This window comes from Homo sapiens, chromosome 6 (assembly GCF_000001405.40).
Source record: "Homo sapiens chromosome 6, GRCh38.p14 Primary Assembly".
Classification (NCBI taxonomy): Eukaryota; Metazoa; Chordata; class Mammalia; order Primates; family Hominidae; genus Homo; species Homo sapiens.
Window position 1 is genome coordinate 143,731,598 of NC_000006.12, and position 23,831 is coordinate 143,755,428.

Consider the following 23,831-nt stretch of genomic DNA (forward strand, 5'->3'; position numbering starts at 1 on the left):
GTTGTGGTGTAGTATTCTTTTTATATGTTGCTGGATTTTATTGAATAATATTTTGTTGAGGATTCATGGTATTGATCTGTAGTGTTCTTGCACTATCTTTGTCTAGGTTTGATATCAGGGCAACACCAACTTTATACAATCAGTTGGCAACTGTTCCCTCCTCTTCTGTTCCTGGAAGAGACTGTGTAGATTTGTTGTTATTTTCTTCTTGAAATGTTTGGTAGAATAAACAGTAAAGCATTATGGACCTGAAGATTTCTCTTTTGAAAGATTTAAATAGCATATTCAATTTCTTTTATAGTTATAGGACCATTCAGGTGATCTCTTTTAACTTGGGTAAGTTTAAGCAGGCCCTCTGGTGCTTTGAAATGGAAAAGAAAGTGAAACTTTTCCTCTAGATTTCTTTATGGTTAACCAACTGCCTTATCTCCTTCCATAAAGTCTATGTGCAAATGCTACTTTCTCAGTGAGATCTATCTGGATTGTTCTATTTCAAATCTCTCCTCTCCCCCAGAATTCTTTAAATTAAATGGCCTTGTTGACATATAATTGATATACCAAACAGTTCACCCATTTAACGTGTGCAACTCAATAGGTTTTAGTAATATTCATGAGCTGTGAAACCATCACCACAATCAATTTTAAACATTTCCATCACTCTAGAAAGAAATCCCATACTCATTAGCAGTCATTCCCCATTTCACCAGTCTCCCAGCTCTACTTTCTATCTCTGCGGGTTTGCCTATTCTTGATATCTCATACAGATGGAATCATACAATACATATGTGGTCTTTTATGACTGATATCTTTCACTTAGCAAGCTTTCATTGGTCATCTATGTTGTAGCGTGTATCAGTACATCATTTCATTATCAAATACCAAACATTCCATTGTATGAATATACCACATTTTATTTATTCATCAGTTGCTGGACGTTGGGTTTCTTTCTATTGGCGGCTATTATGAATAATGTTGCTGTGTGCATTTGTATATAAGTTTTTGTGTACATATATGTTTTCACTTCTCTTGGTTTCATTTCTCTTGGTTATATACCTAGAAATGGAATTGCTTAGTCATGTGGTAATTCAATGTTTAACATTTTGAGGAACTGCCAAACTGTTTTTCAATGCAGCCACACCATTTTATATTCCTACTAGCAGTGTATGAGCATTCTAATTTCTCTACACTCCAGCCAACATTTATTACTACCTGTCTTTTTTTATTATTGCTATCCTGGTGGGTATAAAGTAGCTCCACCCAGCACTTTTGATTACTCCTTGTCTTTTCTTTTCTGATTTATTTATTTATTTGAGACAGGGTCTTGCTCATTCACCCATGCTGGAGTGCAGTGGTGTGATCATTTCTACTGCAGCCTCTAACTCCTGGGCTCAAAGCAATCCTCCTGCCTCAGCCTCCCAAGTTGCTAGGACCAAAGGCATGCACCACAACACCCAACTTAATTTTAAAAAAAAATTTTTTTTCATAGAGATGGAGGCTTGCTCAGCTGCCCAGGCTGGGTGTCCAACTGGCTTCAAGTGATTGTCCTACCTTGACCTCCCAAAGTGCTGGGATTATAGATGTGAGCCACCATGCCTAGCCTGATTCCTCCTCTTTTTCTACCTTACTTTTTTCATTTTCCATAGCACATTTTACCGTCTAACATCTATAAATTATTTCTATTGTTTGTTATCTGACCCCACTTCCTAGTAGATTATAAATTCCATGAGAACAGGGATTTTTGTTTTCTTCTTTGGTGAGATCTCAAAGAAACTTGTATAGTGCCTGGCTTATGTTAAACATTCAGTAAATGTATATTGAATGAACGAATGAATGAATGAATGGCTCTTGATGGACCTTATCCCATCCTATATATGGAGCATTTGCAAGTGAATCTTTTCGATTTGGAAAGTGCTGGATTTGGGGTGAGGGGTAGGGAATGACTGCTTGTTTTCAATCCTTCTTTAGTGTTCATACCACTGAGAGTTGCTTAAAACAGCCTCAAGAAACCCTGAAAAGCCATAACAGACTAAATGAATATTTTACCAATTTAGTGGGTAGGGTGGGGAGCTATTCTCTCATGAATGGATAATGACCTTAAGTAACTGTGACTGCTCTGTATGGCAGCATTGCAAAGGTCAATGTGGGAACATCTTTCTCAGAAAGGAAGTGTGGTGGGGGTTGTATTTTAATTCAACCATTTGTGTTCTTGTGTATTTCACAACAAAACCTAATGAGACCAAATGAGTGCTAGAAATTCTGTGGGCAAGAGATATTATATAATAATTTTATTACGTATGCTTTTAAAAAATATCGTCTATTATTTTCCTAAAGGTATATAATTGTGTTAAAACAGATTTCCTCTATGTGCTCTAAATATAAAGGAGACTAATTATTTCTCCCCTTTTCTTCTCCCAGTAGAATGGATTTTTTTTCTTGGTTCAATCTTTTTATACATAGGTGGATGGAAAGACTCATTATGGCCCATCTTTTTATTTATGGAGCATTTATTATTCATTATAGGTCTATTCTAGTGGTAAAACCCATTTATGGGAAAGAGTAATAGAATATGAGTGCTAACTTTTTGTGCATTTGTCATAATTGAAGTTAGTGGTTTTATAAATATGGGATGCTTCCACCATGGGTTTAGAATAGCCCAGCTGCACAATAAATGGCCTAACCATCAGGTCCTACCTCTTACAGATCGATAAAACCATGAAATCTTTTTTTCTAAATGGAGTTGAGGAGTCTCCCTTGCTTCCTGTACATTCTGGAAAAAGTGGGATATTGTGTTTAATCCAAGCCGAGCTCTGGATTTAAATGGGTTGCACCATAGACCTGACTAGTATCTCAAGTCTCCCGTCTTTTCCAGGGGGAGTTAGGTTTTTCTAGTGAATTCAGATAAGCAAGGCATTTTCACTGAGCATTCTGTGAAAGCATTCTCAAATGAGACATGGATGCTACTGATTTTGCTGATTTCTGATTACAAATGACACATTTTAAAAATCACACACATAGAATGAATTGCAGAATTGTTAACTTGCTTTCCCTTTTTTTTCCATCACATTTGATTGCTAAGGGGGATGTGGAGAAAAGGAGCACTGTTCCCACCCACATCTTAATTAAATAAGGCCTCCATTGGGTTGAGACAAAGTGGGTTTGTATTGCTTTAAGAGAAGATCCGATTGTTTATATCCCTTGCTTGGGTGGATAATTTCCTAATTTCATTTTCCTTTGGAGTGGTGCCACTTTAAACACTTTTAAAGGTACTACAGAAGCCCTTCTGGCCTGGGTCAGAGAATTCATGTCAGGAAAGTCCATTATTTTATTTCCTTTGCATATTATTTCCCTTTGTGGTTTTGTTTTGTCTTTTTCATCCTGTGATATGAATCTGGTCCTTATCACTGAGGGCTAAGTCCTGGAAAGTGACTGTTTTTTGGCTTACATATTTTCCTGATTTATTTCTCACTTAGAATATAAGATGCAATCTTAATTTTTACTTCTTTTGTGTTAGGTGTTTGCTCACCTAGGCTTATAACACTTTTTGTCCGAAGGTTTCTCCAACTGATTCCCAAGCCTAGACTGTAAGTTTTGAAATTGGTACTCATGAAGTTTCCTTTATTCCAAAGTATAAGTGTTTACTTAGTACCCATAAGACAGGGCGTAAGAGGCTATATACAAAAATACAAGATAATAAAAAAACATGATTGGAAAGAAGACTAGATATTAGAAAATTATTAGAAAACTGATTATGCATTATCGTGATGAAAATTCTTTCTTGTCTGTTTTTCATTTCAGCATTTATAGAAATCTATAGTCCTAAAATATTTTACAATTTGATTTTATTTTAAAATCCATAATGTAAATTTACCATCTTAGCCATTTTAGGTTTACGGTTCAGTAGTGTTAAGTATATTCACATCGTTGTGCAACAGACCTCCCGAACTTTTTCATCTTGCAAAATGAAAACTCTGTGCCCATTCAACAACTTCCCATCCCCCCACCCCACCACTTACCCTCTGTAATGTTTTTTTAAAAAAACTTCAGATGAATCAAATGCAAAACATTATTGACACCAATGAAAGTTTAATCACCTGTGTTAAGTAAGACAGTGACATATTGCTGGCATTCCGTCATCTTTTCTTTTTGCTGAGTTTTTCATTTCAATTCAATGCTAAAAAGTTCAAATTAGTTACTACCCCATGAGGCTTGAAAATGTTCCCTTTGGATAATTTGGGTAATTTCTATATGTGTAGCATTGTGAAGTAAAGTAGTTTTTCCTAAAAAAATTAAAGTTTAAAAAATGTATTTCTGTTACTCATTTGAAGTTTCATTTAGGATTAAACTTAATATAGGAAAAAGATATGTGGGTATTAATAATAATGATAACTAACTCATTGAGTATTTACTATGTGTCAGGCACTCTTTTAATTAATTATTAATAAATTTTTATAGACACGTTCTCTCTCTGTCACCCAGGTGGGAGTGCAATGGCACAATCATAACTCACCTTAACCTCTAACTCCTGGGTACAAGCGATCCTCCTGCCTCATCCAGATAATTTTTTAATTTTTTGTCGAAATGGAGTCTCACTATGTTGCTCAGCCTGTGATACTATTTTAAATGCCTGCAATCTTCTCAGTTACCCTATGATGCAGGTTACTATTATAATCTCACTTTTACTCCTGAGTAAACTAGCGAGGCACAGAAAAGTTAGGTAATCACCCTAAGTTCCAGGCCTTATGCAAAGCATAGCCAGTATTTAATCCTCAGAACCCTGCCTTGAGTTTGCATTCTTAATCCCTATACTATGCTGCCTTCTAGGTCAATAAGCATGTCAAATGAAAATATTGGTGGATTATTATCAAGGAATATGCAAATGTATACAGGAGAAATGGAAAGTAGAGGAGAAAAAAACTCCTATTTCTTTGGTCTGTAATTTATGCCAAACCCTTTACAATTTTTTTTTTTTTTTTTTTTTTTTTTTTTTTTTTTTTTGAGACGGAGCCTTGCTCTGTCACCCAGGCTGGAGTGCAGTGGCAAGATCTCGGCTCACTGCAAGCCCCGCCTCCCAGGTTCAAGCCATTCTCCTGCCTGAGCCTCGGAGTAGCTGGGACTACAGGCACCCGCCACCATGCCCGGCTAATTTTTTTGTATTTTTAATAGAGACGGGGTTTTACTGTGTTAGCCAGGATGGTCTCGATCTCCTGACCTCGTGATCCGCCCGCCTCGGCCTCCCAAAGTGCTGGGATTACTGGCGTGAGCCAACACGTCCGGCCTACAAGATATTTTAATCATCCTAACGTCTATTCATGCTAGGTTTTAGTGCCTGTGTTTTCACATGTGGAAATAAAGGCTCAGAGAAGTTGGGGAGTTTGCCTGTGTTCACCTACCAATAACTTGCAGGGTCTGGATTTGAACACAAAGGTATATTCTTAAGAGGACTGGAATACATCCTATATAAAAGTATTCTATTATATAGAGTCTATTATATATAATGTAATATAACATCGTGAACTTCTATATAAATATTATATAGGAATGATATTTATTTTATACCTTTCTGTAAATATTATACAGGAAACAATATAGGACAAGAATACTTCTACACATAACATATTCTAGACCTCTTAAGAATTATATATATTATATATATGTCTATGTAGTATATAGCAGTCTATTCTTTTTAAATTAAATTAAATTTTATTTATTATTATTTTTTAGAGTGATGGTGTCTCACTGTATTGCCCAGGGTGGTCTCGAACTCTGGGCTCAAGTGATCCTCCTGTCTCGGCCTCTCAAAGCTTTGGGATTACAGGCATGAGCTGCCACACCCAGCCCAGTCTATTCTAACCTATTGTATGAAATATTCTATTATATATAGTATGTATTAAGATAAATATATTCTTCCTTCTACATTTCATAGCCTTTCAGTCTTCAAGAAGGATGAGACCCTGATATTACCCAAATAATCACAATATTTGAAACACAGAGTGGCAAGGAGGGATTATTGAAAAGAGCATAATGTCTAAGTACAAACTTAGCTTTGCTATCAAACCTTAAGTGTTACAGTTTCAGCTACAGTGAAAAGTTACCTTTCCCCAAACTGCATTTTTGTGTTTATCTTAGAAAATAAAAACTTCAGTTGAAACTACCCATTTTCCTATCACTGCAGGGTTGGGCAGGAATCAGGTGTAGTTTATCTTTCCTGCTTTAGTTTAGGCCTGGACCAGTTTTGCCAAAGGAATACTGTTCTTTACAAATACTGTGCTCTCTGTTGTGTAGGCAAGATGGTAGGTAGTGGACAGAATGTGAAGAATGCTCCAGAAAATAAACTTTTTAATCATCTTAAGAAACCTGGTCTGATTGGATATGTAAAATGAAAGTAATAAACATGGATTTGGGGAAATTCCTACTCAAATCTTCTTACAACTTAGACTGGTTATCCCCACCTACCTGAGTTGGTGTTGTTTTAATATGTATTGTTCATGGCTCAACTCAATAAAAAATAGGCTTTTAAAGATTATACATTTTTGGCCAGGCGCTGTGGCCCACGCCTGTAATCCTAGCACTTTGGGAGTCCTAGGCAGGCGGATCACAAGGTCAGGAGTTCGAAACCAGTGGGGGGCGCCTGTAATCCCAGCTACTCAGGAGGCTGAGGCAGGAGAATCGCTTGACCCGGGAGGCAGAGGTTGCAGTGAGCCGAGATTGTGACACTGCACTCCAGCCTGGGCGACAGAGGGAGACTCCATCTCAAAACAAAACAAAACAAAAGATTATACATTTTTTTTCATGACCCCCCTGAAAAGATCAACCTAAAATATAAAGAATTTCAGCCACCTTTACCCCAGGGCAATAGAATTAGATCTTTAAATGAGTTGGGACCAGCACAGTGACTCATGCCTGTAATCCTAGCACTTTGGGAGGCCAAGGTAAATGGATCACTTGAGCTCACGACCAGCCTGGGCAACATGACAAAACCCCATCTCTTAAAAAAAATACAAAACAAAAATTAGCTGGGCATGGTGGTGCATGCCTGTAGTCCCAGCTACTTAGGAGGCTAAGGTGAGAGGATGGCTTGAGCCCGGGAGGCGGAGGCTGCAGTGAGCCAAGATCGTGCAACTGTACTCCAGCCTGGGTGATAGAGCAGGACCTTGTCTCAAAAAAAAAAGAAAGAAAGAAAGAAAGAAAATTAAATGAATGGAAATGTCTTCATTTAGGATGCTTTAGTGTCACTAAGATTTCTTTTCTATCTAATCTTGCTTGCTGTTGACTGATGAAATGAGATATTATCCCATCTTGATCAAAGGTGTTGAGTCCCTGAAATGTGTAGATTGAAAGCAGATCATGGAGAAGGGTGTTAGAAGTTCAGGCTCTCTGGAGCTTCTCTTCCAATGGCTATTGTTTATGATCTCTTAGTTTGAAAAGCTTCATTACCATTTACAGCTGAGATTCACTTTATTTATTTATTATTTATTTATTTATTTTTGAGACGGAGTCTCTCTCTGTCCCGAGGCTGGAGTGCAGTGGCACGGTTTTGGCTCACTGCAAGCTCCGCCTCCCGGGTTCACTCCGTTCTCCTGCCTCAGCCTCCCAAGTAGCTGGGACTATAGGCGTGCACCACCACGCCCATCTAATTTTTGTATTTTTAGTAAAGACAGGGTTTCACCATGTTAGCCAGGATGGTCTCGATCTGCTGACCTCATGATCCACCAGCCTCGGCATCCCAAAGTGCTGGGATTACAGGTGTGAGCCACCGCACCCGGCTGCGAGATTCACTTTAAAATCAGTTCTCTAGCCTGTTCTTTTTGGGACGAGATTAGAGTGTAATTTCTCTAGGGATGATTATCATTATTCGTATTTCAAACATTGGTCCCCTCTGTGGTGTCACTGTGTCTTAGGTTTACCATCTTTTACTGTAAAGAAACAGGAAATGGAAACACGCAAGCTTTTCTTTGAACTAGATGAATTCAAAAACACCTGTCTTAGGCATTCGTGTTTCTTATGAGTTTGCGAGAGTCCGAGTGAAGGGGAAGGACAGGCTGTGTTACACGTAGCACTCAAATCTTCGCTTCTAATTACTCTCCTGAGATTGCTTGTACTTCCTGGCCCTTCTGGGATTGAGGACTTGCTCATTGTTTGAATCTTGGACCTTTATTCCTTCGGAATTAGAACCATAGGTCCCCATGGGCTGATCTCCCATGTCCATTCCCTTCTGCTGTTTGCGCAGGTCTAAGACAATCACCTCTTCCCTCCTCCCACCTCGGTCTTATCTGTGACCTCCTACTACCTGAAATTTGTAAACTATTATATACTTTTGTTACAGGAACTGGGTCCTGCTCAAGACCCCAAGAGAGGGTTCTTGGATCTCGGACAAGAAAGAATTCAGGGGGAGTCCATAAAGTGAAGTGAAAGCAAGTTTATTAAGAAAGTAAAGGAATAAGAGAATGGTTACTCCATAGACGGAGCAGCCCTGAGGGCTGCTGGTTGCCGTTTTTATGGTTATGTCATGATTACATGCTAAACAAGGGGTGGATTGTTCATGCCTCCCCTTTTTAGACCGTATAGGGTAACTTCCTAACATTGCCATGCCATTTGTAAACTGTCATAGCGCTGGTGGGAGTGTAGCAGTGAGGATGAACAGAGATCACTCTTGTGGCCATCTTGGTTTTGGTGGGTTTTAGCTGGCTTCTTTATTGCAACCTGTTTTGTCATCAAGATCTTTAAGACCTGTATCTTGTGTTGACCTCCTAGCTCATCCTGTGATTTGGAATGCCCTAACCATCTGGAATGCAGCCCAGCAGGTCTTAGCCTCCTTGTACCCAGCCTCTATTCAAGATGGAGTTGCTCTGGCTCACACGCCTCTGACACTTTTACAAAAACAAAACAACTATTACAAAACATCCTTTTAATTAAAAAAAAAAAAAAAGGAAAAAATAAAATGAATATTTGTTCAAGTATGTCTGGAAGGATACACGAGACACTAATAAAAGTGGAGAATTGCTTGTGGAGTAAGGCTGAGGTTCAAGTCTAATAGTTGGGAGGCGGGGTGAGAGTGAGAATTTACACTGTATCCTTTTATAATTTGAACTCTGTGAGAATGTACTACCATTTTAAAAATACCCATTTAAAATTAACTTTAAAAAGTGTTCTGCTGTCTGCTTTCTTAAGAAAAATCAGAAAGCAGCGTACCTCTGGTGGGAAAGTTGGAATCTTTACAATTATGAACTCAGATTGGAGAATACAAAGCAGGAGTCTTTTGGTTACACACACCTGGGTTCAACCAGGTTCCTACTGTGTGACTGGAAAATGTATTTAGTCTCTGTAAGTCTCAATACCCTTATCTGAGGAGGAAAATAAAAATAATTGCTTAGCTGAGCGCAGTGGCTCACGCCTGTCATCCCAGCACTTTGGAGGCTGAGGCAGGCGGATCACTTGAGGTCAGGAGTTCGAGACCAGCCTGGCCAACATGGCGAAAACCCATCTCTACTAAAAATGCAAAAATTAGCCGGGCATGGTGGCGCATGCCTGTAATCCCAGCTACTCAGGAGGCTGAGGCAGGAGAATGAGTCAGGAGTTCAAGACCAGCCTGGCCAACATGGGGAAACCCCATCTCTACTAAAAATACAAAAATTAGCCAGTCATGGTGGCGCACGCCTTTAATCCCAGCTACTCAGAAGGCTGAGGCAGGAGTTCAATACCAGCCTGGCCAACATGGCCAAACCCCATCTCTACTAAAAATATAAAAATTAGCCAGGCATGGTGGCGCATGCCTGTAATCCCAGCTACTCAGTAGGCTGAGGCAGGAGAATCGCTTGAACCCGGGAGGCAGAGGTTACAGTGAGCCAAGATGGCCCCACTGTACTCCAGCTTGAGTGACAAAGTGAGATTCCATCTGAAAACAAAAATAACAATAATAATAAGAAGAAGAATTGCTTAGCTTATCTTTTAGGGATAGTGGGTAGAAAATAAATAGGAAAATGTTCTCCAAGCACATAAGAAATAGATGATTACTATCAGATTTCTGGGTGAAATTGCGACAGTAATTTCCCAAGAGGAGGAAGGAACACAGATCTTCCTCTTTCTTAAGTCCTGGCCAAGTTTCAAACTCTTGAGTGGGTAAAGAGGGGCTATATTAGTTCTCCTTTCATATTTCTGCCCTCAAAAACCTAGAGAATCTGTGGTGACTACTGGAAGAAAATTCAATTTAAAAACATTTATTTGAGGCTGGGCGCAGTGGCTCATGCCTGTAATCCAAGTACTTTGGGAGGCTCAGGCAGGCGGATCACCTGAGGTCAGGAGTTCGAGACCAGCCTGGCCAACGTGGTGAAACCCCATCTCTACCAAAAATACAAAAAAAATTAGCTGGGCATGGTGGCGGGCACCTGTAATCCCAGCTACTTGGGAGGCTGAGGCAGGAGAATTGCCTGAACGCGGGAGGTGGAGGTTGCAGTGAGCTGGGATCGCGCCACTGCACTGCAGCCTGGGTGACAAGAGTGAAACTCCATCTCAAAAAAAAAAAACAACAACATTTATTTGATACTTTTTTGATTAGTCAGGGCTCTTCACTGCTGATGAATCATGACAAACTTAATGAAAGAGAGAACTCATTGGCTCATGTAACTGAAAAATCCAGGGGCAGAAAACCTTCAGGCGTGGTTGGATCCAGGTGCTTACAAGCTATCTCATTAAGAACCTGTCTCGCTCCCTCTTTTGAGTCTGTATTTCCTCCCTGTTGGCTTTTGTTGTTGTTGTGGTTGTTAACTTCAGTTCTCCTCTTGCGGAGGCAAGGTGGCCACTAGCCACTCTTGCTCATATTTGTCTGGTTTTAACAGCTCCAGAAGAAAGAGAAAGCCTTGCTTTCCTATTGTTCCAGCAAATTTTTTGGGCCTGGATCTTATTTCTGCAACTTGAGCATGTGTCCCTCTCTGAACCAGTCACCAGTGCCAGGGAGAAACTGGGCTCTGATTGGATAAGCCCAGGAGCCCAAGAGCCTTGTGCCCAGGGATGAGGTTAGCCTTCTACAAATAACATGGACTAAGAGAGGGGGAATGTGGCTTCCCAAAGGAAAAATGTCAGGAAGGCCATTTCTAAAAGAAGTAGAAGAGGATGCTAGACATGCCTTTCCTCCTTCCCCCCAAAAAGACACTTAGGTCCCCAATATCTACTCTGTGCGATATATTATTTTGGGCATTATGGGAATGACATGATAAACACGACATCCCTCAGAAGGCTTAGACTAGAATCATGTGATTATGCAATCGCATACACATGAATTTAGTAATGAACAACTTAGTAAGTGCTATAACAGAAATAATAGTTAATAGCTAATATGTATTGAATGCTTTCTAGATCCTAGGTACTGGTCTCAGTATTTTACTTGGTTTAACCTATTTAGTCTCCAAAAGAACCAGGAAAGTAGTTGCTATCTCTCCATTTTGCAGATGAGGACGCTGAGGCACAGAGAAGTTGGTTGAAAGTGCTTTTGGAACACAAAGTTCTAGCCCATCAGGATAGTGAGATCTCCATGCAGAGCTACTGTGTGAAGAGAACTTAACATTTTAGGGTAGATTTCACCCGAGAGGGATAGGGAAACAGTCTAAATTCTAGGAAGAAGGAACAATACATGAAGGAATGGAGCTGAAGAACCGCAGATGTTTAGGAAATGGCAAGAAGTAAAGTTTGACTTTAACACCAGGCTTGCAAAAAAGAGATGGAAGGAAAGTGATGGGAAAAATGGTTCGCTGGGACGGGTTGTAAAGCTTGGCTGCCGTTCCAAGTCCAGCTGGTTCCACAGACTGTAGAATTCTTTAGTAGGGGAGTGGCTGGAGCAGATAAACAAAAAAATCGCCAGACCCCTGAGTGTTTTTAGGTGGGGATGTTGGCTTTGTATCTCTGCTGTACATTCTTGGGATGTTTTGGAAGGTTTTTGCAAATGTCCTGTTGGGTGGCATTGAAGCGGTTGTTTCTTTAAATGACTTAGCTCTGCCTTAGTGAAGATCTTGTTAAAAGCAGACCATTTTCTGACATTCTGTTTTCTGCAACTGCTATTGAAGAGGGGCAAAGCCGAGCCAGGCTCTTGTAGAACACTTTCAACACAAGACAAGTGGTTTTGTGTGTTTCTGTCACAGTTTTACAGTGAGGCCATTCAGTACTCAGAACTGAGAAGATAGCATGGCACGCTTATTTAATAGTCTTCTATTTGCTCTTCTATTTTGTCCAGTCATTAAATGGTGTTAGAATTGAGAATTAGGACTCTCTTTCCTCGCCAAAGAAAAACACAAGTGACTTGTTGACTACAAGATTTACTCTCACAGATATTTCCAGAGTAATATGAAATCCCAGCCAAGTATCCGCAGAAAAAAGCCAGCGGCATATGCTCCAGCCTCTTTTCCTGAGTGCAGCTCCACAGCTACCTCTCCATGCCCAGAAGGACATCATAAATCATTTCTAATTTATGAGGAGCCCAGTCGTGTACTACACCCTGCTAGGTGCTGGTGTTTGTCGTCTACAGACTGTGAGCTCCCTTCTTCAGTGCATACAGAGACTTTTTCAGATCATCCATAGGACAGAAGGTTGAGAATTTTTTTCCCTAGGACTGGCCCAGCCAAGAATTAAGGAGGGAGAAGACAGAAGATTCTTGTCGCTCAGGGTTTTGCCACAAGCCTCACTTGCTTTTTCCCAAATTGAGGACTGGGAAGGGGCAGAAACAATACCATTCTCATGATTAGCTATTTTCTTTTATTCAACAAATACACATATTTTTTCAAAGCCAACAGCCTGCAAGTCAACGTTGGGGACACAGCAGTAAGCAAAACAGAATTTTGGTTCTCAATGAGATTATACTTACACATGTTAGGAGGTGACGATGGGTTTTGCAGGGAAAGAAGAGATAAAGTTGGGAAGGGGAATAGCCATTCTACATCAGGAGTTCAGGGAAGGGACTTCCACTAAGGTGACCTTTGAGCAGAGACTTGTGGGACAGGATGGAGTGAGTCTAGCAGTTGTCTGGGGATATGGCCTCCTGGGAAGGACAGAGGCCACCATGCAGGGCCCCAAGAAATTGAAGCCAAGAGCCAGAAAGAAGTGGTTAGGAGCCAGGCACGTGGGAGGCGGGACAGCCTAAGGGGCTGCGGTGAGTTCAGGGATTGTTGGAAGTAAGATGGGCAGCCATGGGAAGTTTTTGGAAGATTACCAGAGTATAAGCCTGAAGTCAGGAAAATACAGGGCAGTGTTTCCTTCACTTCCCAGAGAGAATTAGAGTGTGCGCTGCTGTTATCAGAATTGAACTGTCAAAACATCAATTAGCCCAATGCAGAGTGAAACAGAAATCATGGCTTTGTTTGATCTTGGTATAAAAAAAGCTCTTATGCTTTTCCAGTTGGGATAAAAGTGAGAGGCCATGAGTCATTTATTTACTCAACTGGCGATAATACTTTTCATGGAGACACCTTAGCTACTGTATTCAGCTACGACATTCAGCGACCTGTGCCCCACTAGCGTCTTCCCTGGCAGTATCTTGGTTGTGCTGTAGCTGTGGTGCATAGATTTCTGTGCATAGATTGGTGTAAGCTTCAAAGTCAAAGAGCAGCTGGTGGGATACTTGGGATCAGATTCGAGCAGGCTGCAATAACAGCAGGCTCTCAGTGATGACCTGGAGCCGACTGCTGCCGTTTTCTGCTCACAAACAACTGACTTTAGTCCGGAGCTACAGAGAGCTTGGGTTAGATTGATGCGCAGAAGTTACAGGGAGTGCGATTTGACTCCTTCTCTGGAATACCTTCCTCAAAATGAGGGTGATCGATACTGAAGTGGGTTGCGCCTTAAAGTGAGCATCTTCCCTCTGAATGATTTTAAGCAGGTGAGCACATCTCAGGAATATTCTGAGACAGCCCCTGCTTTGTGCGGTGTGTTGGACTAGAATGACCTCTCAGATTCATTGCAATGCAAACCCCCTCTGAGCCCATGAAAAAGTGTCCAGTGAATGTGCTCTGCAAACATGCAGGCACTATATAAACAAGAGGCAAATATTTTAAAAGGTGAAGAATGAGATACTTGTACTGCTGTGAGAGCGGTGGTTGGAATGTTGTGCCCCAGCAACATACTTTCCGTGCTCGGTCGCCTGCAGTTTGTTCTCATTGGCCCTGTACAGAGGTATCCGCATTGTGTGTTAAATACGCTCTCAGCGAAAGACCAAACAAATAGCCAACGGCATTTTCCTATCAGAGCCTGTTTATAGGAGGTAGAGCAAAAGAACAAAGCTGTTGGTTTTGATTCTTGGCAGGAAGCCAAGGCTGCTGCTTCAAAGCTCCAGAGTTTACAAGGAAGAAAGAGGGGGAATTTTTAGTTTACAAGGAAGAAAGGGGGAATTTTTAGCTGAGACTAAGTTAGAATTTAAGCAAAACTCAAAACTAAAACTAAAGAATCCTCCGGGATCCATAATGGAAAGGCAGAATAAGAAACCTGGTATGTTTCAGGCTATCGGATGATTTTTTAGTGCAAGAACGAACGTTTTAAAAGGTGCCCGAGCAGAGATTACAGACAGCCTCGATTAATGACACAGGATCACTCAGCATTTGAGCTGGATGAATTGTCCTTAGTGATCCTTGAATTGTGTCCCTTATTTTACAGATAATGGATTAGAGGCCCAGGAACTCAAAATGACTGCCCAGGGTCACTCAACAAGTTGTAGGAATTCAAGGACTAGAATCCAGGACTCCTGGCAGCCATTTTGTGTTTTGGGCAATTTTAAAGAAGCAGCAAACCAGTAAAAGTTTTGTTTCTTATGAGCAAAGGGCCGGTTAGGAAGACAGCCACCGTGATTGAATGCTGAATTGGCAGTGCATTTGGTTTGCGAGAATGTGGCCCGATCCCTAGGCCAGCGGCACTTGCTCTTGCAGTTGCCACCTTCATCCTTAAGTTTAGGGCAGAACAGCCGTGAATCTCTGGGCCTGTTCCCAGGAATGGAGGCCAAGACAACTGTTGGAGGAGGTCTACAGAGTCCCGCCACCCCTCAGAGCCCAGTCAAGCATGAATGGGCTTTTACAATCCGTAGGAGGCTGCAGTGGTCAAGGTCCTTCTAAAGCACCTGCAAAATCCCAGCAGTGTCCCACCTGTCACTGTGGGTGTTCTTTGGCTTCCTGCCGTTGATAAGAGTTCTCTCCTTTTTGACAAGAGGCCGAACAAATTGAAACTGTATTTAAATAACAACACTCTTTTTACATAATAGAACACCCAGTTTAAAAAAAAAAAAAAGACTCTTTGCCCGGTTAACTTTTTTCATTGAAATTACTAACCTTTAAGTGAGCTGTTGTTACTTGCTTCTGGAAGATACAGGAAGAATGGGGTCAGTGAGGAATCTAAAGGAAGGGAGGGAAGCCTTCTGTGTATGTCTCCTTTTTAACCCAAAGCTGTTCGTTGTCATTCTTTTGACCATTTATTCATTCATTCACTCATTTTCCTGTTTGTTTCTATTCTGATTCTATCCAAAAAAAGTTTGACAAAATGTGCAGTAAAGAGCTTATATATTGTACATAAAATATAAGTCAAGTCAGGTTTTAGAGAAGGAGGAAACAGAGATTCCATCCACGAATTGTCATATGAAATCTGTGTCAAATATCCAGTTTTACTCTGATCTTTCTAGCAACCAGGATTTAAAAAGGAATACACAATTTCTATTATCAGAAAGGAAAAAAAAATCCAGGTTCTTCAAGAGACTAAGCGTTGCTATTCTGTGGCACATGCAATTAGCAAACACTTAAGGAAGACTTTCATGCACTTACTACAAAGCTGGCTGCCCAGGGCGCATCCTCCCACCCTGTCTCCTATCAGTGTCCTTGCTTGAGGCCCTGGAGCCCCTGAGCAAACATGTTCTTAGTGTTATCACAAATGTCTTCTTAGTGTTATCACCTGCTCCCTTTGGATGTGTCAGAACCTGGTTTGGGGTAATGGCTTTAGTTTAGTTGAAACGATGTTGTCTAGAGCAGTTCCAGGATTTGCAGATAATGAGCCCAGGAGTAGGAATCGGGGAACGTCAGAAATCTCGTGCTACTGCAGCTGCATGTTGTCTACCAGTGTAGCTTTCCTGCTCTTCAAAGTGCCCTAGACTCCTTATCTGGCCCTTCGCTGCTGTATCAAAGTGCATTTTTGAACAGAAGGTCTGGAGGAAATAGAGTTCTGCAGAACACGCTTTGGGAAATGTTGACTCAGGATTAATAGATGACATGACCACATGTTAATTTTACGCACCTTCTTGGCCCCTGAAAGTGAGGAATGGACTTTGCAGTTGCATGGACATATAGAGCACAGGATTTAATACTATACACACTCAAGGGGAACACAATTGAGATCCTGCTCCGGAGCTCCCAAGCCCCATTCCAAAGTTCTACCAGGCATTTACATTTGTTCCAGAAGAAGGAAGAATCAATGTTAAGATCCCCATGGCTTTACATGTCTGTGAAAACTGATTATTATTATTTTTTTTTTTCTGAGATGGAGTTTCGCTCTTGTCGCCCAGGCTGGAGTGCAATGGCACGATCTTGGCTCACTGCAACTTCAGCCTCCTGGGTTCAGGCGATTTTCCTGCCTCAGCCTCCCAAATAGCTGGGGTTACAGGTGCCCACCACCATGACCAGCTAATTTTTGTATTTTTCGGAGATGGGGTTTTGCCATGTTGGCCAGGCTGGTCTCAAACTCCTGACCTCAGGTGATCCACCCACCTCGGCCCCCGCCAAAGTGCTAGGATTACAGGCATGAGCCACCGTTCCTGGCTGAAAGCTGATTATTCTTAACTGCCTTCTCCATCCTCCTAAGACCTGGGGATTGTCAGCTAATATATAAGAACTCTCTAGAATTAGTGAGAACGCAGGGGAAAGAGTTATAGAAATATGATGTGTTGGGCTTTTGTAATAGATGGAGTGAGAGAGAAAACACTAGAAAATAGTTCATTTTCCTGGAATGCAAATGGGTTACCCAGAATATTTACTGATGTTTATGTGTTTTTTTCTTTAATGTAAGCATACATATCTTCTTCATACACTGCATATCCATAGAATTATATGTTTTAGAATGCAACATTTCTAGCTTCAGCGTGAGAAGCAGGCTTTATGCTCTCTAGTTGCTATGTAATAATATGCCTGGACGCCAGGCCAAAGGTGGCCATTTGAAAGACCAGGGATGGCGGTTGGACTTCAGATCATGGGCTGCAGCCATTTGCTCTTGTCATAGCTGTGTTGATTCCACTCAGATCATGTGTTTTTTTTAAGCAACTAAGAAAACGAGTTTGAGCCCTCATGTGAGGAGAATAAATGTGCTCAATTCTACTTGGAATGTTTTTCATAATTATCTTAAGGAATGACTTGATTCTTACTTGTGCTTGTTCTTTTTAAAAGTATTAGAAAGGAAGATATCCACACGACAAAGTAGAGAGGAGCTGATAAGAAGGGGAGTGCTTAAGGAATTGCCTGATCAAGGTGAGGAAATTAATCATACATTTTAAATATTTTGGTCCTTCATTCTTTGGTTTTTCTTTTGTTTTCTTTTGAAATTTAAAGGGATCATGGTCTTTGTAAGGTAAAGCGGTGATTACTGCATTCCAAGCGCCGTGCTTCCATTGGTAATGCCTTTGTGAGCTGCAGAGAATCTGAAATATTATAGAATTCTAGTGACTTTCCTGGTGAATCCATCACCATATGTCATTCTAAACCTAAAACTCTGCAAAGGTACATCCGAGGGCAATACAGATGAGATACAAATGCTTACGGCTCCTTCTCTTCTCTATTCTTGAGCTTCAGTCTTTCTATTCACATGAAACTCATGTGTTTGAGTAAATGCAAAGTTTTAGCTTGGTTCATGCTATTTTGTTTCTTAAGACTACCAATAAAAGAGAAGAGAGAAGGCACACATACCTCTTGTCCTTTGCACTCTATAATAACACTGAAATGTACAATCAATAAAGCATGAATAGGCAAACTAAACTAACCTGCTTTCTGCTTTCTCTCATGTAATTTTGCAGTACTGTTCTCTTTTCATTTCTCTGAATCTTTCCCTAGCAATGATTATTTCTAATTTTTTCCCCTATCTCTGATCTTCTCTTTTTTTCTCTATCCTCCCGAGGAGGAACTTTGTTCAGAAAAGACAAGGATCAGATAGAAACTGGTACTGACCCTCAAAAGAAGACGCTAACATTGGTTATTTCTCCAAATAAATAATACCTAATGATTTTCATCGCTTCCACTATTAAATTTAAAATTAAAGGACATTTTGTTGCAATTTTGTTGATTAAGCTCATGCCTCCCTTCCCCTCACATTTACTGTAATAATAAAGTATTATTATTGTACTTTTATGGGAACAAATAAAATGCTATTAATTTAGAATTGAAATTGAAATTGAAATAATAATACAGCTGTTTTCCTGATATATGTTCCTTGCAAAGGACTTAACATTTTTTGGCATTCACTATTTGTAAATCAAAATGACATGCTTTTTTCCAGCATCTGAATAATTCCAGAGTGGAGCTGAGAAATGCTTTCCTGTTTTTCTCCTGATTCAAAGAAAGTAGGGAACTCTGCAGTGAATAGTAGCATTTTCTTAAGCCCTCGCAATTTTAGGTATTTTACTTCAATTTCTGACCTGTCAAACTTTTCTTACTCTACTTTATGAATGAATTTTATGTTTTCCCTGTTTTTCTATTATTTTGAAGCTATTTATTTCCTGTTTGAGACTTTTAAGAGTTAAAAATGCACATTTCTAACTTTTTAAACTTAAAGGTAGGCTTGCAATATCAAAATTAATCCCCTGTCCAATGTCTCTGAAGGCAATAGAGAAATAATATACCCATTGAAAGCTTAACACTGGGCCATCAGCTTTATGGGATGGGCCAATGCATTTATTAGACATCGTTTATTTAGAAATATTTTAAAGAAAGTACAAAATGGAAAATTTTATGATTGAAACTGTTAATGGGTTTAAATGTGAAGATTAAAAGCCCATCTTTTTTTCCTAATTAAAATTTGTAGGTAGAAAAAGAATTTGCTCTGTCTGAAAACCAAGTAGCAATAGTCAATTTAAAGAAATGATTTTTATTCTGCCGAATCTGTGAAACTATTTGCCTCATAGATTATAATTTCTTGGGCCAACATATACTTCTCAGAAATCTGACTCTCTGATCTTTTTATTTAACTTTTCCAGTGGAAACTAAAAGTTTTAAAACATAAAAGAACAAAACAATTTTTTAACCTAAGCATAATATAATAATAGGCTTAATGTTTGAGAAGTCATAAAATACTAGATTTTACTTTCCAGCTTTTCCATGGTCCCTATCTAGAACCGTAGAAATTATCTAATGGTTGAAGGTTCCTGAGGATGTCAGTAGTAAATGGAGTCCTTCCCCTTTTCAGCTGAGGGCTGGAGAAAATAGTTTTCTGTGATTTTCCCAAAAGCAATTATCTGGAGAATTTCAGTCTGAGAGACTAGAAGCTGCTGTTCTTGGTAACAACCTCCTTTCTGCTGCCAGTGAAGATTCATTGTTTGCCTTGATCTTCTTGACCTTGCGTCTGCTCTTGACAGTGCCTGTCCATCAAGCCCTTTATTCAGTGAGCCAGATAGACTTTAAAAATCCCTCTAGCTACCCTGAGTCTGACCCCATCCCACCATATCCCATACTCTCCCGGCTATTGTTATTTTTCCTTTTAGGTTCTCTTATTTACATCCAGACATACCTTCAACCTAAAAGTTCAGTGATTCGTCTTCTCTCCTGGGAAGTCTATGATCTAGTCCAAGTTTGCTGCTTACCTCTGCTTTTTTCCCTCCATCTTTTCCCTTAGCTTTTGACATGAGGTTGTGGAGGTGGTTTTGCCTGTGTGCCATCCTTTCCTTTTCTCCCACTGTGGACTTTTGTCACTTGCCTTTTGGTCATACATGATTTTCTCTTTCTATCTGTCCCTCCTTTAACTATGATATATCCCCAATACACCTGTTTACTAGAAGGAGGTGACCCCCTTCAAACACCCTCGTGTTCCTTATTTAACCACTTGTTCCTGTTTGTGCTTTATCTCTGTTTTCTTTAAGCTGACAACTACGTTTTGAGTTTTCTCTTTCCTTTGCTCTCGTGAGATGTGTTGACTTGGGCCGCTTATTGTCACCTGCCATCCAGCTCAGCATCTTCTTGCCTTCCTTTGCTCTGCTTGTATTTTACTTACACACACACACACACACACACACACACACACACTATATCAAGGATTTAACTTATTTTAATTCTAAAACAACTTCCTTAACACTCAATACTAGAAAGCCTTTTCAATATACACACCAGCTAATTAATAACTTTACTTCCCCTCTGTTTTGTTCTTGAATTCCATATTTATCACAAATGTGTCTCTTTTTTCTACAATTATTTTCATACTAACTAGCTTTATTTCATGCCTCAAAGTAAGTATTTTCCACATTGTTGACTATTTCTCTCTATCATAGGATAAGACACTTTCTTCTTGTGTCACAGCTATTAAAATTTCCAGGTTTTTCTAAATTTAATAAATCAGTTATTTAACTAAAGAATTTTAATATAATAATGCTTAAAATAGAATTAAATTGTCATTGACATGACTTCAATATACTTTTATTATCAACTAACTAAAGTCAAAGAAAACAAAGATAAATTTATATTTGAGTTACCTAAAAACTGAAGATTTTTATACATAAGCAAGTGGTTTTCTATTTTGTTTGGAATTTTCCATTCTTCATTTTTATTTTATCTGGATATATTGTGTTCTCCTCCTTTTTATAGCTAATTTCTTGGGATTTAATAATAGGATTTAAGAATCATTTGGGTTCTCTTTGTTTTGATGTATAGTCTTTTAAAAATTCTTACTTTAATTTTATTAAAATAGTTGAGATTTACTTGTAATGGCATTGCCTTCAATTATTGTTTATTTTAGTTTTACACGGGACTTAGTTATAGGTTATTGGGAGTTATATGACTAAGCAACGATTGCTTTTTCATTCTAAAAATGACATAATTTCATGATATGTAGTTGATTTATTAAAATGTCATGTCTGTTTGTTCAGAAGGCAAATGGATTTTATTGTTAAGCCAAAGCAATTCAATCCTATTTAATGACAATTTGGGAAATGGTTTCTGTTTTATAATGATTGCCAAGATAAGAGTAGTAAAAAATTGAAAGAGCTGTAATCAAGCAGATTTTTAAGTTTGCTCAAACCTTCCATTTGTTAATTTTTCTTTTACAATGCTAGCAAAGCCTCTTAAAATTTTCCAGATATAAAGTAGGGTTAATCTTTTCAAGAATCACTGAATTAAATGTTTCTGCAAAGTCTCTTTCACTTTAGAAACCCCCAGGAATTATGGAAATACAGGAGTTAAAATTAGTAATTTATGATTTAGATCTCTCAACATTGTATCCATTATGGTTTTTTAAAATTCCTTTGTGATTACTTTTTTATGTGTGTTTTTTTTTTCTCGAATGTTTTCAAATTATTTTTAGGACAACTTAGGGACTTTTTGGCTAGTTATATATAATAATTACCTGAGTATACTTTAATCTTTCCATAAACAAATAAAAATAAAAATAGCCTTGCTATCATGTTTTCCCTGAACATAGAGTAGCAGTTATATTACTGTGTGAAGTTAGCACATCATATACTTAATATATTCTGGAACCAGTAGTACTTGGAAATTTTCATATTCTCCCACTTATTGTTTGTATGTGTAATTACATTTCATGTTATTTGTGTATTTGCATTCACCTTGTGTTTTTGGTGCTTGTAAAATGTTTATTCCATTTTCCAGATTATTCCTCTCGCCATTCTGTTTCTGAATGACAAAGAAACACATAACTATTGACTTCAGACAAACCTAAGCACATGAACGAGGGACTCTGCTGCCCTGGGATATTGGATAATTAGGATGATCATTCCTGTTGTCTTGAAATGGCGCATAGATATTCCCTCCATAGCAGCTTTTCCCCAAGACAGAGGATTTTCTAGCTCTTTTGTTTTGAATAAACCGGTGAAACAGTGCAGGGTGTATTTGGTTCCCAGGGACTGAAACATGAATCTAAATTTTACAATCCTAGTAACTGGAAAACTTGTTTTTAAGAAAGCCAGCAAGTTAGACATCTAGGTGTTTCTTTCCCATTTTAGATGGAGATGTAACAGTTAACTTTGAAAATTCAAACGGGCACATGATACCCATCGGAGAGGAATCTACCCGAGAGGAAAATGTAGTAAAGTCTGAAGAAGGTAATGGCTCTGTATCTGAAAAAACACCACCTCTGGAGGAACAGGCAGAAGATAAGAAAGGTAAAATAAAGACAAACCCATATTATTTACTTTAGTATATAGCTCAATGTCTAGAACCAGCACTTAGGCTCCAACTAGTGACTCTAAAACCAGCAGTCTGCAGAGGAGAGGTTTACAAATAGAAAAAAGAAAGAAATGATAACTAGTAAAGTGAAATCGGATGATTTTCTCAGGTAGATGCATCCATTTTATAAGCACAGTATTTGTTTTTTCAATTATTAAAAATGTTAATTAAAAGTAATAATCAGAAGGGGTGGCCTCTTTAATCATTAGAGATGTCTGGGAAGATTATCCTTTCTTAGGAGCTTTGTCTCAGGATCATAATGAAAGTGAGAAATCTGAACATCTTTCTCTGCTGGTTACAATTGGACCCGTGAGCAGTTCAGCATGGAGGAATATCAAAACCCACATGGCTTGTTCAGCCCAGCACTGTCTCCAGCAGTGGGAACTTGGCAGGTGGCATCCACATATCCAGCATCATAGGTTCCAGACGTTTCTGAGAGAGACCCAGGAATAGCTCCCAGAGATGCCACGGACTGTGGTTGCTCTGCTGGCTGATTCCCACAGCCTCTGTGCAATTGGAAACTTCAAAATGTGCCAGAGGCGATTATGCTATTCCCAGAAGACTTCTTTAGAGACCTTGGTTCCTAGAGTGAATATGCTACAGTAGATTGAGATACCTGCAAAATACATGTCTATCAGGGACTCCCAGAACATTCACAAATTCCTAGTTATGGATTGATGACATCTCGATACCACTGCTGTGATGCGTAGGAACCTCCAAACATGAAATGAAACTTCTAAAAGGAAAGGTTTTGTGGGGAGATTCTAGATGCCTCCATGCAGCATAGAAAGGAATCTTTAGGAAATATACTATTTCCTATTTTATAATGTCTGTCTCTAAGTTGAATGGTAAAATTTTGTCAAACCTAGTGTGTGTTCTGTGGGCATTTTGAACTCTTAGAAACTGATGAAAGTGAATTCTCTTCCTCTGTTCTTGACCCAGATCCTTGAGAGCGAAAGGGAAAAAAGATTATTTGATGGCCCTATTAAACACACCATTGTAACTTAAAATCATCCTCTGTGGAAGTTCATAACCGTTCATTATTTGCATATATATTAGCCTTTAAAAGTTTTAGAAGCCTGTGTAAATAATCTGTTGGAAATGTATTATTTTGCTTTATTTCAAGGGCTTTATCTAGCCTTGTTCCATTGAAGGACTCTGGTTAAGCTTATGTACACAAATTATGAAATTAACTAATACTTTCAATGATAATATTCCTGGAACATAAAAAGAAAGTAGACTTAAATAAATTTTAGTGGGATTCAGTTGAAAGTATTAACGCAAGTAGTGATGTTTTTTGTTTAAGTCTTTCTGTCCTGTCTCGCCAGACTGTTGAATTTCAAATCCATCTGTGGTTTGTCCCTGGCAGCCTTCTCACATCCAAGAATCGCATCCTGCATTACGTAACAGTGCCATCTCTGGTGCCTGGTCCGTGCAGGGTATTCGTCACTG

The 23,831-nt window shown here is 39.3% G+C and overlaps 1 protein-coding gene across 8 annotated transcripts in view, besides 5 other annotated features; it reads left to right on the forward strand.

Moving 5' to 3' along the window:
- PHACTR2 (phosphatase and actin regulator 2) overlaps positions 1–23,831 on the forward strand; it is a 294,308-nt gene that overhangs the window by 194,720 nt on the left and 75,757 nt on the right. For 7 of the 8 annotated variants that reach the window (NR_172204.1, NR_172205.1, NM_001394736.1 and 4 more), the window contains exons 3-4: positions 17,388–17,468; positions 22,157–22,315. Coding sequence is in view for 6 of the 8 variants with exons in the window: in NM_001394736.1 (NP_001381665.1) it covers positions 17,388–17,468; positions 22,157–22,315 (240 nt within the window). In the remaining 2 variants the exon portion in view is untranslated. The remainder of the gene's footprint in view (positions 1–17,387; positions 17,469–22,156; positions 22,316–23,831) is intronic. The other variant, NM_001394738.1, reaches the window with a different exon arrangement.
- Positions 7,186–7,686: an enhancer, noted in NCBI's record as "H3K27ac hESC enhancer chr6:144059920-144060420 (GRCh37/hg19 assembly coordinates)". NCBI's record gives its function as "activates a minimal SCP1, AML or CMV promoter by ChIP-STARR-seq in primed H9 embryonic stem cells {active_cell/tissue: H9 hESC(primed)}" and the evidence as "EXISTENCE:reporter gene assay evidence [ECO:0000049][PMID:30033119]".
- Positions 12,433–13,102: an enhancer, noted in NCBI's record as "H3K27ac-H3K4me1 hESC enhancer chr6:144065167-144065836 (GRCh37/hg19 assembly coordinates)". NCBI's record gives its function as "activates a minimal SCP1, AML or CMV promoter by ChIP-STARR-seq in primed H9 embryonic stem cells {active_cell/tissue: H9 hESC(primed)}" and the evidence as "EXISTENCE:reporter gene assay evidence [ECO:0000049][PMID:30033119]".
- Positions 14,444–15,114: an enhancer, noted in NCBI's record as "OCT4-NANOG-H3K27ac hESC enhancer chr6:144067178-144067848 (GRCh37/hg19 assembly coordinates)". NCBI's record gives its function as "activates a minimal SCP1, AML or CMV promoter by ChIP-STARR-seq in naive H9 embryonic stem cells {active_cell/tissue: H9 hESC(naive)}" and the evidence as "EXISTENCE:reporter gene assay evidence [ECO:0000049][PMID:30033119]".
- Positions 15,115–15,784: an enhancer, noted in NCBI's record as "OCT4-NANOG-H3K27ac-H3K4me1 hESC enhancer chr6:144067849-144068518 (GRCh37/hg19 assembly coordinates)". NCBI's record gives its function as "activates a minimal SCP1, AML or CMV promoter by ChIP-STARR-seq in naive H9 embryonic stem cells {active_cell/tissue: H9 hESC(naive)}" and the evidence as "EXISTENCE:reporter gene assay evidence [ECO:0000049][PMID:30033119]".
- Positions 15,785–16,454: an enhancer, noted in NCBI's record as "OCT4-NANOG-H3K27ac-H3K4me1 hESC enhancer chr6:144068519-144069188 (GRCh37/hg19 assembly coordinates)". NCBI's record gives its function as "activates a minimal SCP1, AML or CMV promoter by ChIP-STARR-seq in naive H9 embryonic stem cells {active_cell/tissue: H9 hESC(naive)}" and the evidence as "EXISTENCE:reporter gene assay evidence [ECO:0000049][PMID:30033119]".